General features: G+C 38.5%; 1 protein-coding gene across 5 annotated transcripts in view; it reads right to left on the bottom strand.

Annotated features, from left to right (window-relative positions):
* SLC22A25 (solute carrier family 22 member 25) overlaps window positions 1–16,503 on the bottom strand; it is an 85,163-nt gene that overhangs the window by 53,503 nt on the left and 15,157 nt on the right. For 4 of the 5 annotated variants that reach the window (NM_199352.6, XM_047426917.1, NM_001394059.1 and 1 more), the window contains exons 6-7: window positions 5,642–5,796; window positions 5,375–5,543 (exon numbers count right to left, since the gene is read on the bottom strand). In NM_199352.6, coding sequence (NP_955384.3) covers window positions 5,375–5,543; window positions 5,642–5,796 — 324 coding nt within the window. Of the gene's footprint in view, window positions 1–5,374; window positions 5,544–5,641; window positions 5,797–7,992; window positions 8,083–16,503 lie in introns of all 5 variants that reach the window. The other variant, XM_017017695.2, reaches the window with a different exon arrangement.

The raw sequence follows: 16,503 nt of genomic DNA on the forward strand, positions 1-16,503 counted from the left end.
GAATCTACAATGAACTCAAACAAATTTACAAGAAAAAAACAAACAACCCCATCAAAAAGTGGGCGAAGGATATGAATAGACACTTCTCAAAAGAAGACATTTATGCAGCCAAAAGACACACGAAAAAATGCTCATCATCACTGGCCATCAGAGAAATGCAAATCAAAACCACAATGAGATACCGTCTCACACCAGTTAGAATGGCGATCATTAAAAAGTCAGGAAACAACAGGTGCTGGAGAGGATGTGGAGAAATAGGAACACTTTTACACTGTTGGTGGGACTGTAAACTAGTTCAACCATGTGGAAGACAGTGTGGCGATTCCTCAGGGATCTAGAACTAGAAATACCATTTGACCCAGCCATCCCATTACTGGATATATACTCAAAGGATTATAAAACATGCTGCTATAAAGACACACGCACACGTATGTTTATTGTGGCACTATTCACAATAGCAAAGACTTGGAACCAACCCAAATGTCCACCAATGATAGACTGGATTAAGAAAATGTGGCACATACACACCATGGAATACTATGCAGCCATAAAAAATTATGAGTTCATGTCCTTTGTAGGGACATGGATGAAACTGGAAACCATCATTCTCAGCAAACTATCACAAGGACAAAAAACCAAACACCACATGTTCTCACTTATAGGTGGGAATTGAGCAATGAGAACACATGGACGCAGGAAGGGGAACATCACACACTGTGGTCTGTTGTGGGGTGGGGGAGGGGGGAGGGATAGCCTAATGTTAAATGATGAGTTAATGAGTGCAGCGTACCAACATGGCTTATGTATACATATGTAACAAACCTTCACGTTGTGTACATGTACCCTAAAACTTAAAGTATAATTTAAAAAAAAAAAAATTCTACCATTTTTGAGGCGGCCTTGGCCACAGATCTTGAGGCTTTTGCACCACCTAGTGACAATTGTGTGCTATTACAATACATTGATGATTTGTTATTCACTGTCCCCATGAGGGAGGAATGCCTCCAAGGAATAGAGAGGCTTCTTCACCTGCTGTGTGAAGCTGGTTATAAAGTGTCCAAGGACAAGGCAAAAGTCTGTTTTTGAGAGGTTGGATATCTATGATTCATGGTATCCCAAGGCCAGCCCAGGCTTGGAAGTGCACACAAGGAGGCTGTATGTGCATTGCCCACCCCAGTTACAAGTGGCAGGTCAGGGAATTTCTAGGTGTGGCAGGATTCTGCCGAATCTGGATTCCAAACTTCTCCCTTATAGCAAGGCTCCTCCCTTATATGAGGCTATCAAAGGAAAGGAAAGAGAGCCCCTCCTATGGGAAAAGGAACAGGAAAAGGCCTTCAAGGATATAAAGGAAGCTCTCATCCAGGCCCCAGCACTTGGGTTGCCAGATGTAAAAAAAGCCCTTCTTTTTGTATGTGGATGAATGAAAGGGAATGGCAGTGGGAGTCTTAACTCAGTTGTTGGGCTGTTGGCATCAGCTGGTAGCTTACTGGACCTTCATGGCCTTAGGTTGGCCCAATGCCTCAGGGCATTGGTGGCTACCACAATCCTTATAGAAGATGCCAACAAGCTAGCCCTAGGTCAGAAGTTAATAGTTCGGGTGCCACACGCTGTAGTCACCTTAATGGAGCCAAGAGGACATCGTTGGCTGTCCAATTCTAGAATGCTAAAGTATCAAGGACTTCTGTGTGAAAATCCCCAGATAACACTAGAGACTATAAATACCTTGAACCCAGCTACCCTGCTGTCTGTGGAGAAACCCGATTGGAAGGGCAGTGGGTTGCCTCACTGCTGGCAGGACCTTCCCCACTGTTGCATAAATATGGTGGACGAAGTGTTCTCGAGCCGGGAAGATCTCAGAGATACCCCCTTGGAGAGGCCAGATGTTGAATACTTCACTGATGGTAGCAGTTTCATAACAGATGGGGTGCGATATGCAAGGTATGTAGTAGTGATCCAACACTCGGTAGTCGAGGCTCAAGCCTTACCTTCTGGGACTTCCACTCAGAAGGCTGAATTAAAAGCCTCAGAAGGAGGAGTACATGGAAAATTTAATTTAACCAACTGTTGCCAAGAAATTGATGATAATGGCTTAGCTGTCATGGAAATCACAGCTAGAATGAACAAGTTGGTCCATGTTCCAGTTCAGATTTGGTCCAGGTGGTCCCCAGATTCCTTGTTTGGAGGATGGTTCTTAGCTTTTGGAGGATTCAAAACCCTCTGGTGGGTTCTTGCTTATTCTTGGTATCTGCCTCATCCTCCTTTGCCCTTTAACCCAGTTTGTTAGGAGTATACAGTCAACTATAGAGGCAATAGTAACCTGACACACTACTGCGCAGTTGATAGCATTAACAAAATATCAGCCGCTGCCAGTAGAAGAAGCGCAGCTCCGTGAAGAGGTGGCAAACAGTGGTGCTTTCTATTAACACTTTTGTTATAAAAAGCACCAAAGGAAGGAATGGAACAGGAATTAAAAGAAATTAAAGAATGTGTAAGCAGAAACTCAGTTGCATGTAAGAAAACCCAATTCCCCCTGAGAAACAGAAAGAGCTGGAGTCTTTTAAAAATTAACTGCCTGTTTTTCTGTTGCTAGTGAGCCTTATCTCTCCTCCTTTCCCAAGCATTGTGAAGACCCTGTTTCTCTAGCTGTGCAGCTGCAAGGTCACTAGACAGATAAACTCAAGTTGTAAAACATGTTTTTCCTTGAAAAGTAAGAAATGATGTAATGCATGTCTCAATTAATTGAATAACTGTCTTTGTTTCTCACTTCTGTAATATGCTTCCCCCTGCACAGATCTCCCCCCACCCCACGAAATGTTTAAAAGGTAACTTAACTCTTTGTTCAGGGCTCAGTCCTTTGGATGTTAATTTGACTGGGCCAGTGCACCTAAATAATAAATATCCTCCTGAACCCCATCAGTCTCTCTGATTCCTTAACAATCCCACAACAATCTCACATCAGTTAGAATGGCAATCATTAAAAAGTCAGGAAACAACAGATGCTGGAGAGGATGTGGACAAATAGGAACACTTTTACACTGTTGGTAAAAGTGTAAATTAGTTCAACCATTGTGGAAGACAGTGTGGTGATTCTTCAAAGATCTAGAACCAGAAATAACATTTGACCCAGCAATCCCATTATTGGGTATATACCCAAAGGATTATAAATCATTCTACTATAAAGACACATGCACACATATGTTTATTGCAGAACTATTCACAATAGCAAAGACTTAGAACCAACCCAAATGCCCATCAGTGATAGACTGGATAAAGAAAATGTGGCACATATACACCATAGAATATTATGCAGCCATAAAAAAGGATGAGTTCATGTCCTTTGCAGGGACATGGATTAAGCTGGAAACCATCATTCTCAGCAAACTAATACAGGAACAGAAAACCAAACACCACATATTCTCACTCATAAGTGGGAGTTGAACAATGAGGACACATGGACACAGGGAGGGGAATATCACATCCTGGGGCCTGTTGTGGGATGGGAGACTAGGGGAGGGATAGCATTAGGAGAAATACCTAATGTCAATGGTGGGTTGATGGGTGTAGCAAACCACAATGGCACATGTATATCTGTGTAACAAACCTGCACGTTTTGCACATGTATTCCAGAACTTAGAGTATAATAAAATAAAAGTGGGCATAGGACATGGACAGACACTTTTCTTTTTTTAATTTATTTTAGATTTGGGGCACATGTGAACGTTTGTTACACAGGTAAACATGTATTATGGAAGTTTGTTGTACATATTTTTTCATCACCCAGGTATTAATCCCAGTACCCATAGTTATCTTTTCTGCTTCTCTCTCTCTTTCCAAACTCCCCTCTCAAGTGGACCCCAGTGTTTATTGTTTTCTTCTTTGTGTTCATAAGTTCTAATCATTTAGCTCCCATTTATAAGTGAAACCATGTATTTGGTTTTGTGTTCTTGTATTAGTTTGCTAAGGATGATACCCTCCAGCTCCATCCATGTTCCTGCAAAAGACATACTCTCATTCTTTTTTATGGTTGCATAATCATGGTGTGTAAGTACCACATTTTCATTAATCTGTCATTGATGGGCATTCAGGTTGATTCCATGTTTTTGTTATTGTTGATAGAGCTGTAATGAACATTTGCAACAGTTTTCAAAAGAAGACACACATATGACCGACTATTATGAAAAAATGCTCAATATCACTGGTCATTAGAGAAATGCAAATCAAACCACAATGAGATGCCATCTCACACTAATCAGAATGGCTATTAATAACAAGTCAAAAAGTAACAGATGCTGGCTAGGTTGCGGAGAAAAAGGAATGCTTTTACACTGTTGGTGGGAGTGTAAATTCATTCGACCATTGTGGAATACAGTGTGGTGATTCCTCAAAGACCTAAAGAAAGAAATACCTTTCAACCCAGTAGTCCCATTACTGGGTATATACCCAAAGGACTAGAAACTCTTCTACTATAAAGACATATGCACACGTATGTTCATGGCAGCACTATTCACAATAACAAATACATGGAATCAACCTAAATGCCCATCAGTGATAGACTGGACCAAGAAAATTGGTACATATATACACCATGGAATACTATGCAGCCATAAAAAAGAACAAGATTGTGTCCTTTGCAGGGACATGGATGGAGCTGAAGGCCATTATACTTAGCAAACTAAATGCTGGAACAGAAAACCAAATACCACATGTTCCCATTTATAAGTGGGAGCTAAAGGTGGGAGGAGGGAGAGGATCAGGAAAAATTACAAACGGGTATTAGGCTTAATACCTAGGTGATAAAATAATCTGTACAACGAATCCTCATTATGCAAGTTTGCCTATGTAACAAGCCTGCACATGTACCCCTGAACTTAAAATAAAAGTTAAAAAAGATTTTCTTATAAAAAAAGTGGTATGGATAAATTTAAATTTCTAATGAGCAGCAATGATTTTTTTAGTATAAGCATGTCCCATGAGATATTTTGGATATCATTACACTAAAAATTATTTGTTCTTTATCTGAAATTTGAATTAAATGGAACCTCCTATGTTTTATTCAGTTAAATAAAATACTGAATATTTGGGTGAAATAAAATTTCCTATGAACAGTGAATAATTTTGAGTTTTATTGCATCCCTTGCAATATTTGGATATTTTTCAGAAGTATTTGTTGATTATCTTATATTCAAATTTAATTAACTGTCCTTAATTTCATCAGGAAACCCTTTGTGTTTTGCTTCTTGAATTGCATATTTAGCACAGATTAGGAGAATGTACTCAAGGCTAGATAGAGGATCAAATGGAATTCATGTCCTCATTCCATGTACATCTGCATTCAAGGATGTCATATGGCAAAAGAAGAATGCAAGCTCAATACCTTGAGAACAGAAAGAAGACAAAGCATGGTGCAGACATCACCAACTGGAGGATGCACTGGTCTCGAATGACAAAAGCCAGGCTTCCCAGGGTTATATGTCCAATACTAGCAGCACAAAGTGTCAATGTCAATGCCATGGCACAGAATTGGTGAGTTATCCACTCTACAACTGAAAGAAAACACAAACAAGATTTAGCTTTAAATACAGGTGGAGCTTCAATGTCAAAGCCAAGGCTTGGAAAATGTGGATCGAAAATATTGACTTACTTAACAAAACAGTATTTACAATGATGCTAAATGTAGCAGCCCCAGCCAAGAAGCGCAGGGAGCAGTATACGAGGATGGTGGGAGCAAAGGCCGCACAGGTGCCTACAATGGCGAGCTGGAGGTAAGACCATCTGAGCACGAACTTTCTCCCAAACCTGAGAAACAGGGGCACATTAGATAATGGGAACAATAACAACCTTTGGGAAATGTTAGCAAAGGGAAAGCACACTTTGAAACTTAAAGGATGTTTAACAAGTGAAACTTTACACTTAAAACGTTAAAGAATCAACAGTTAATCAATGGCAGGTCTTCTCAGAAGGAATGTTCTCTGTTTGTAAATAGATACTGAGTGTATAAAAGTTTCTTCTCCAATCTGTTGCCAGTAGATCATTGATACAAATTCAAAACATGTAAGACAGGCTGGGATGTTGAAATGTTAACACACCAGAAATGTCCCTTGTGAAGACAAATTGTTCTACCAAAAAGATACACGCACTCACATGTTCATTGAAGCACTATTCACAGTAGCAAAGGCATGGAATAACCTCAATGCCCACCAATGGTAGACTGGAATACTATGTAGCCACAAAAAAGAATGAAATCATGTCTTCTGCAGCAACATGGATGCAGATGGAGGCCATTTTCCTAAGTGAATTAATGTAGGAACAGAAAACCAAACATTACAATGTCCTCAACTTATAAGGGGGAGCTAAACGTTAAGTACACAGGGACATAAAGAAGGGAACAATAGATGCTGGGGACTACAAGAGTTGGCAGGGAGGGAGGGGAAAAGGGTTTGAGAAACTACCAATTGGGTACTATGCTAACTACCTGGGTGATGGGTTCATTCATACCCCTAGCCTCAGCATCATGCAATATATTCATGTAACAAACCTGCACATGCACACCTTGAATCTAAAATAAAAGTTGAAATTAAAAAAAGAGAAATATCTCCTGTATTAACATACAGTGCACCATGAACACAAGTTCTCTCCTATGTACTTTAGCACACTAGAGAGTCTGTATAGTGGCTGGGAGGCAAGAGATCTAATTCTATACATGAAATTCTAGGACTGTGCAGGCCATAGGTAAATGGATGTGAAAGGAACATCCATGAAACAATACATCAGAGTGGGTTAAGATTTTCAGGGGAGGGTTAAAAAAATAAAAAGGAAATTCTGTGTTTTATTATTTTCTGGGAAAGAGGACCTCTCTGTAGACAACTTGGACAATGTGGCATGTGGTGAGGCAGAATTTCAGCTCTTGCCAATTGTCATTTGTTACTGTATTGAAGGTCCTAGCTACTGCCAGAAAGATAATAAAAAGCAAAAGATAGAAAAATAATTGTTCTACCAAAAACACACATGCACTCACATGTTCTTGCAGATGGCATGATTTTGTAGTGGAAAATTTTAGGGAATCCACAAAATGCTACTAGAACTAATTATCAAGTTGGAAGGATGTAAGCTTAATATAGAAAAAGACAATTACCTTCATATATAGTAGCTATGACTAATTAGAAATTAAAATTGTGATGAACAACTTTATGGCCTCAAAAACTAAGTTAATTAGAATAAATTTAATGGAAAAATGCATGACTTTTTTCTATAAACCATAAAATATTGCAAAGGGAATTTAAGAAAATATAAATTAATGGAGAGTGTTATTACATTCACAGCCTATAAAATTCAATATTTTAAAATGGCAATTTTACCAACTGCTATATAGATTTAATGCAATCCCAATGAAATCCTAAAGAGAATCACCTTTCTGACTCCCAACACCATCGTTGCTTTTCTTTGACGTTTACATAAGTGAAGTGGTATCGTGTGCAATCATTTTTGGTTGTTCTTGTGGCAAACAAAATGATTTTGGTATTCATCCATGTTATGGTACAGAGTAAGTTCTTCATTCCTTTTTCTGTATAAAAATCCACTATGTGAATATCCTGCATCTTATTTATTCATTCTATTATTAATGAAATTCTACAGTATTTCTAGTTTGGGGATATCATGAACAGTTGAGTGTGTTATATCCAAAGTATCAATTTGATCATGGCTGTCTCTGCATATGATCAATTAATATTTCCCCCCAGGTTTGTGATAAAGCTCCAAATCCTTAGATTACCTTGCCCCGTCAACTTCAGCTGGTTCTCCACTGTCATCTCCTGCCTGGTACCACTACCTTATCTTGCACCACCCTATGATCCATTAAAATTGGTTTATCTGCATTTTCTCATGGCACTGTCCCAGAGAGCTGGGTTACTGGACTGTTGGAAATCAACCCTCTGACTCTCAACTCTTTTAAGTGTTACTTTTACTGTCATACATTCAGGGTTTCAGGAGAGATACCAGAAGACGTGATGCTGGTGGATGGCAATGGGCACCTCAAGTCCCTCGTCACAATCAGTGGAGACATGGTTGGGCGATGATAATGGTTTCCTGCCATTTCAGAAGACATACGGTAAGTTAGAGGGTACCCCAAACTTCTCATGTCACAGACTGTGACAATATTGTCCTTAGATTACTTACCTTTTGTTGTAAGGTAGAGGTTGTAATACCTCTAAAAAGCTGTTTTTGCAAAGACAAAAAAAATCAAGAATCCAGGCATGATTTCTCAGGACACCATCAATGACACCTTGAAATGTACCCTGCAGATTTTAGAAAAATGTCTGCCCCATCACACTTGGAACTATGATCTAATGATCATGCTCCAGGCACAAGCCATCAGCACACAATGTCCAGGAGGGACTGCACATGGTACCCCTTGCTGAGGCTGAATTCCATGTCGTGAAACATGTTCCTTTCTGTTCCCATAGATAACTCTGTTTCATCTTTCTAAACCAAATGTTGTGGCACTTTCTTTCCAAACTCTGTCTTTGGAAAAATTTTAAATTTTTAGTTTTTGTGGGTACATAGTAGGTGTGTATACTTATGGAGTATATGAGAGATTTTGAAACAGACATACAATGTGTTATAATCACATTAGGGTAAATGGGGCACCCATCACCTCAAGCATTTATCCTTTGTGTTACAAACAATCCAATTATACTCTTTTAGTTATTTTAAAGTGTACAATTAAATTATTACTGACTGCAGTCACCGTGTTGTGTGATCAAATACTAGGTCTTATTCATTCTTTCCATTTTTTTGTGTACCCATTAACCATGCCCACTTTCCCCCTGACACACCCACTACTGCCCTTCCCAGTCTCTGGTAATTATCATTTTACTCTCTATGTCCATGAGTTTAATTGTTTTAGTTTTTAGATCTACAGATAAGTGAGAACATGTGAAGTTTGTCTTTCTTTTACTGGCTTATTTCACTCAACATAATGATCTACAGTTTCATTCATGTTGTTGCAAATGACAAGATCTCATTCTTTTTTATGGCTGAATAATACTCTACTTTGTATATGTACCATATTTTCTTTATCCATTCATCTGTTGTGGACACTTAGGTTGCTTCCAAATCTTGGCTATTGTGAATAGTGCTGCAATAAACATGGAGAGCAGATATCCTTTCCTTTTGCTATACTGATTTCCTTTTTGGGTGTGTACCTAGCAGTGGGATTGCTGAATCATATAGTAGCTCTACATTTAACTTTTTGAGGAACCTCCAAATTGTTTTCCATGGGAGTTGTACTAAGTTATATTCCCACCAACAGTTCATGAGGGTTCCCTTTTCTCCACATCCTCACCAGCATTTATTATTGCCTGCCTTTTGGATACAAGCGATTTTAACTGAGGTGAGATGATATCTCACTGTAGTTTTGATTTGCATTTTTTCTGATGACCAATGATGTTGAGCACATTTTCATATACCTGTTTGTTTTTTGTGTGTCTTCTTTTGAGAAATGTCTCTTCAGATACTTCACCCATTTAAAAATTAAATTGTTAGATTTTTTTTCCTACAGAGTTGTGCACACTCCTTATATATTCTGGTTATTAATCCCTTATCAGATGGGTAACTTGCAAAATTCCTCCCATTCTGTGGGTTGTCTCTTCCCTTTGTTGATTGTTTCCTTTGTTGTACAGAAGTTTTTTGAACTTGATATGATCCAATTTCTCCATTTTTGCATCGTTTGCCTGTGCTTGTTGTGTATTACTGAAGAAATCATTGCCCAGTCCAATGTCCTGGAGAGTTTACCCAATGTTTTCTTGCATTAGTTTCATAGTTTGAGGTCTTAGATTTAAATTTTTAATTCATTTTGATTTAATTTTTATATATGGCCAAAGATAGGGGTCTAATTTTATTCTTTTGCATGTGGATATCCAGTTTCCCAGCATTGTGTATTAAAGAGACTGTCCTTTTCCCCAATGTATGTTTTTGGCACCTTTGTTGATGATGAGTTCACTGTAGATGTATGGATTTTTTTCTGGATTCTCCATTCTGTTCCATTGGTCTATGCATGTGTTTTTATGCCAGTACATCTTGTTTTGGTTACGATAGCTCTGTAGTATAATTGGAAGTCAGGTAATGTGATTCTTCCAGTTTTGTTCTTTTTGCTCATGATAGCTTTGGCTATTCTGGGTCTTTTGTGGTTTCATATATAGTTTAGAATTGTGTTTTCTACATCTGAGAATAATGTAATTGGTATTTTGATAGAGATTGCATTGAATCTGTGATTGTGTTGGGTAGTATGGACATTTTAACAATATTGATTATTCCAATCCACGGACATGAATATCTTTCCATTTTTGGTGTCCCATTCAATTTATTTCGCCAACATTTTAGAGTTTTCATTGTAGGGATCTTTCACTTCTTAGGTTATATTCTAGGTATTTAATTTTATTTGTCACTATTGTAAATGGGGTTACTTTCTTGATTTGTTTTCCAGGTTTTTCACTGTTGGCATATAGAAATGCTACTGATCTTTGTATGTTGATATTTTATCCTGCAACTTTACAGAATTTGGGTATCAATTTGAATAGTTTTTTGGTGGAGGCTTTATGTTTTTCCAAATAGAAGATCATATAGTCTGCAAACAAGGATAATTTGACTTCTTCTTTTCCAGTTGGGTGCTATTTATATTTTTCTCTTGTCTGATTGCTCTAGTTAGGACTTCCTGTACTATTTTAAATGGCAAGGGTGAATGTGGGCATCCTTGTTGTGTTTCAGATCTTAGAGAAAAGGCTTTCAATTTTTTCCCCATTTCATGTGATACTAGCTATGAGTCTGTCATATATGGCTTTTATTATGTTGAAGTATGTTCCTTCTATACCCAGTTTTTTTTTGAGAGTTTTTTTTTATCATGAAGCAATGTTTAATTTTATCAAATGTTTATTCAGTATTGAGATGATCATCTGGTTTCTGTCCTTCATTCTATTGATATAATGTATCACATCAATTGATTTTTGTATTTTGAACCATCTTTGTATCCCTGGTTCAAAATCCCACTTGGTCATGATGAAAAATCTTTTTAATGTGTTGCTGAATTCAATTTGCTAGTACTTTGTGGAGAATTTTTTCATCAATGTTCTTCAGGCATATTGGCCTGTAGTTTTCTTTTTTTTGAGGTGTCTTTGTCTGGTTTTGGTATCTGTGTAATACTAACCTTGTATTATGAGTTTAATATATTTCCTCTGTTTCTATTTTTTGGAATAGTTTGATTGGGATTCGTATGACTTCTTTAAATGTTTGGTAGAATTCAGCAGTGAAGTCATCAGGTCCCAGGCTTTTCCTTACCTGGAGACTTTTTATTACAGCTTCAATCTCATTACTTGTTATTGGTCTGTTCTGGTTTTGGATTTCTTTAGGGTTCAATCTTGGTAGGTTGTATGTATCTAGGAATTTACCCATTTCTTGTATATTTTCCAATTTATTGGCACATAATTGCTAATAGTAGCCTCTAATGACCCTTTGAATTTCTGTGGTATCAGTTGTAATGTCTCTTTTTTCCATCTCTGATTTTATTTACATAGGGTTTCTCTCTTTTTTCTTAGTCTAGCTAAAGGTTTGCCAATTTTGTTTATCTTTCCAGAAAACCAAGTTTTGTTTTGTTGCTGTTTTGCATTCTTTTTTTCATTTCAAATTCCTTTATTATTGCTCTGATCTTTATTTTCTTCTGTTAATTTTTGATTTAATATGCTCTTGCTTTTCTAGTTCTTTAAGATGCATCATTATGTTGTTCGTTTGAAATTTATTTTTTCCTTTTTGATGTAGGCACTTATAGCTCTAAACTTCCCTCTTGGTACCGCTTTTGCTGTATTCCATTGATTTTGGTATATTGCGTTTCCATTATCATTTGTTTCAATATATTTCTCAATTTCCTTCTTAATCTATTCATACCCACTAGTCATTCAGGAGCATACTCTTTAATTTTTATGTATTTGTATAGTTTCCAGAATCTGTCTTGTTGATTTCTGTTATTCCAGTGTGGTCAGAGAAGATACCTGAAATTATTTCAGGTTAAGTCCAATGTTTCTTTGTTGATTTTCTGTCTGGAAGATCTGTTCAATATTGAAAGTGGGGTGTTGAAATCTCCAGCTATTATTATATTGGGGCCTATCTCTCTCTTTGATATGTAATATTTTCTTTATGTATCTGAGTGCACCAATGTTGTGCGTATATATTTATAATTTTTATATCCTCTTGCTGAATTGACCCCTTTATCATCTCTTTTTACGTTTTTTTGTCTTGTAATCTATTTTGTCTCATATAAGCGTAGCTAATCTTGCTCTTTTTTGGTTTTCATTGGTATGGAATATCTTTTTCCATCCCTTTATTTTCAGTCTATGTGTGTATAGATAAGATGCATTTCTTGTAGGCAACAGATCATTGTTTTTGTTTTTACTATTCAGTCTCTCTATGTCTTTTGATTGCAGAGATTAGTTCATTTACATTCAATAATATTATTGATAAGTAAGGACTTACTCCTGCCATTGTGTTATTTATTTTCTGGTTGTTTTGTGGTCTTCTCTTTCTTCTTTTTTTCCTTCCTGTCTTCCTTTTAGTGAAGGTGATTTTCTCTGGTGATATGTTTTGGTTTCTTGATTTTTATTTTTTGTGTATCCATTGTATGTTTTTAGATTTGAGGTTACCATGAGGCCTACAATTAATATCTTATAACTCATTATTTTAAACTGATAGTTAATAGAGATTGCATAAACATGAAAAACAAACAGGCAAAAAGAAAACTAATACAACTGCATACTTTACCTCGATCTCTCTGCTTTTTAACCTTTGTTTCTGTTTATATTTTATTGTACTATCTATATCTTGAAAAGGTTGTTTTAGGCTGGGGGCGGTGGCTGACGCCTGTAATCCCAGCACTTTGGGAGGCAGAGGTGGGTGGAACTTGAGGTCAGGAGATGGAGACCATCCTGGCTAACACGGTGAAACCCTGTCTCTACTAAAAATACAAAAAATTAGCCAGGCGTGGTGGCGGGCGCCTGTAGTCCCAGCTATTCGGGAGGCTGAGGCAGGAGAATGGCGTGAACCCAGGAGGCGGAGCTTGCAGTGAGCCGAGATTGTGCCACTGCACTCCAGCCTGGGTGACAGAGCAAGACTCCGTCTCAAAATAAATAAATAAATACATAAATAAAAATAAAATAAAATAAAAAAGTTGTTTTAGTTAGTTTATATGCCACAATTACAGTGTCATAATATCCTGTGATTTTCTGTGTATTTACTACTAGCAGGGAGTTTTATACATTCAGATAATTTCTTATGGCTCATTACTGTTCTTTACTTTCAGATTGAATAATTTCCTTTAGCATTTCTTGTAGGACAGGTCTGGTGTTGATGAAACCTCTCAGCCTTTGTTTGGGAAACTCTTTATTTCTCATTCATATTTGAAGGATATTTTTGCCAAATATAGTATTATAGGGTAAAAGTTTTTTTTCTTCTTCAGCACTTTAAGTATATCATGCCACTCTGTCCTGGCCTGTAAGGTTTGCATGGAAAAGTCTGCTGCCAGACATATTGGGTCTCCATTGGATGTTATTTGTTTCTTTTCTCTTGCGTGTTTAGGATTCTTTATTTATCCTTGACCTAGGGAGTTGGATTATTAATACCTTGAGGTAGTCTTCTTTGGGTTAAATCTGCTTGATATCCTATGATTTTCTTGTACTTGAATATTGATATCTTTCTCTGTATTTGTGAAGTTCTCTCTTAATAGCTCTTTGAATAAACTGTCTACCCTTGTCTCTCTCTCTGCCTTCTCGAAGGCCAATAACCCTTGGATTTAACCTTTTGAGATGATTTTCTAGATGTTGTGGGAGTGCTTCCTTCTTTTTAATTCTTTTCACTTTTGTCTCCTCTGACTCTGTGTTTTTAAATAGCCTGTTTTCAAGCTCACTAATTCTTTCTTCTGCTTGATCAATTCTGTTGTTAAGAGATTCTGATGCATTCTTCCATATGTCAATTGCATTTCTTCAACTCCAGAATTTCTGCTTCTTGATTCTTTTTAATTATTTCAATGTGTTTGGTAAATTAATCTAATAGGATTCTGAATTCCTTCTCTGTGTTATCTTGAATTTCTTCATTTTTTCTCAATACCATTATTTCGAATTTTCTATCTGAAAGGTCACATATCTGTCTCTCCAATATTGGTCCCTGGTACCTTATTTAGTTTGTTTAGTGAAGTCATGATTTCCTAGATGGTCTTGATGTTTGTGGATGCTTTTTGGTGCCTGGGCATTTAAACGTTAGATATTCATTGTGGTTTTCACAGTCTGGGCTTTGCTCATACTCGTCCTTCTTGGGTAGACTTTTCAGGTATTCAAAGGGGCTTGAGTGTTGTGATCTAAGTTTTTGATCACTGCAACCACATCTGCATTAGGGGGCCTCCAAACATAGTAATGCTGTAGTTCTTGCAGACTGCCTTGGTGGTCTTGGATAAGATCTGGAAAAATTATTTGGACCAGCAGGCAGAGACTCTTGTTTTTTTTCTTTATTTTCTCCCAAACAAATGGAGTCTTTCTCTCTGTTCTGAGCTGCTTGTAGCTAGTGATGGGATGACAAAAACTCCCTGAGGCCACTACCACTAGGACTGTCCTGGGTCAGACCTGAAGACAGCATAGCACTGGGTCTTGGCCAAGGCCCAAGGTAAGCATTTCCTTGTTACCACCTATATTTGCTAAAGGTCCTAGGGTTCTACAATCAGGAGGTGGTGAAACCAGCCAACCTTGTGTCCTTCCTTTCAGGGTGGCAAGTTCCCCTTGGCCCCAGGCAAATCCAGAGATGCTGTACAGGAGCCTGGGCTTGGAGTTGGAAACCTTATAAATCTACCCATCATTCTATTCTACTGCAGCTAAGCTGCCACCAAAACCACAAGACAAAATCCTTTCCACTCTTCTCTCCCCTTTCCACCAGAAGAGGAATCTGTCTGTGTGTCCAATACCGCCACAGGCCCATGTGGAATACTTCCAGGGTGATTATTAACTTATGGTCCAAGGGCTGTTTGGTCAGCTTGTGGTGAATGCTTCCAGACCTGGGACTCACCCTTTAGGGCAGTGGGCTCCCATCTGGCCCAGAGTAGGTCTAGAAATGCTGCCCAAGAGCTAAGACCTAGAATTGGGAACCCCAAAGGCCTACTTGGTGGTCTTCCCCACTGCGGCTGAGCTGGTACCTAAGGTGCAAGACAAAGTCCCCTTTATTCTTCCCTCTCCTTTTCTCAAGCAGAAGGAGTCTCTCCTTGTAGCCACCACAGATGTGAATATGCTGGGCCACACCTGAAGTCAGCATATCTCGGAGTCTCTCCCAAGGTCAATGACATGTATTACCTGGTTACCACTGCTGATTATTTAGGAGCCAAGGGATATTTAGTTAGCAGGTACTATTTCCTGCCAGGACTGGGCCCTTCTCTTTAAGGCAGCAGATTCCCTTCTGGCCCAGGGTGTGTCTAGAAATGTCATCCAGGAGTTAGGTCCTCAAATGAAGGGATCATGACTCTGCCCAGTGCCCTCTCCTACTGTGGCTGAGCTGGTATCCAAGTTGTGAAAAAAAGTCATCTTTACTTTTCCCTCTCCTCTCCTCAAATGGAATGAAGGAGTCTATTTTGGAGGTGCAAGGTGCATTGTCTGTGGTTGGGGAGGGAGTGATGTAAGCACTCCATTAGCCACCCAAGCTGTTTTCTCATTAGATCCTGTGCTCCCCATGTCCACTGGCTCTTAGCCCAGCCCAGCAGTAGAACTTGCCTAGAAGTTGCAGTCCTTGTGGCCTACACAGTCTTTCAAGTTTGTTTAGGACGAGAGCACTTTAGCCTGTGATGGCAAGGCTTACCAAAACTCATATTCTGGACACTGGGATGGGTGATTCACCTCTGTGGCTATGGCTGGTCTAAATGCTTCCTTCATGAGTGCTGGCTGAGTTCTGCCCTGTGTTGGCAGCACTGAGTCCCAATGCAAAGTCCCGTAATTGCTGTGCTCTTCCTCCCCCAAGTGCACAGATTCTCTGTGCCACATGGCCAGTGCTGGGGGATGGAGATGGAGTGTTGTCAGCAATTCAAGACTGTCTTTCCTACCCCCTTCAATGAAGTTAAAATCAGGTACTATGATCATTCACTTGATTTTTGGTTCTTATGAAGGTGCATTTTTGTGTAGATAGTTTTCAAGTTTGGTATTCCTGTGGGGAGGACAATCAGTGGAAGCTTCTGTTCTGTCATCTTGCTCTGCCTCCCCTGGGATTTATCCAAACCCTATTTTGAAACACCCCCAGGTCAGATGGAGATGAAATTTCTGTGTCTTGTGCACAGCACACACATTTTAAAAAATAGCACTCACCACACTCACCATAATTTTCCTTTTGTGTCTACAAATCCCTGGGGACCAAGGGAGCAACAGGATAGTGTGATTTCCAAAAATATTTCTAGATGAAAAGTGTTTCATGAATTGATGAAAATACCCTTGAAGAGAGCTA

The sequence above is a fragment of the Homo sapiens genome, chromosome 11 (assembly GCF_000001405.40).
Source record: "Homo sapiens chromosome 11, GRCh38.p14 Primary Assembly".
Lineage (NCBI taxonomy): Eukaryota > Metazoa > Chordata > Mammalia > Primates > Hominidae > Homo > Homo sapiens.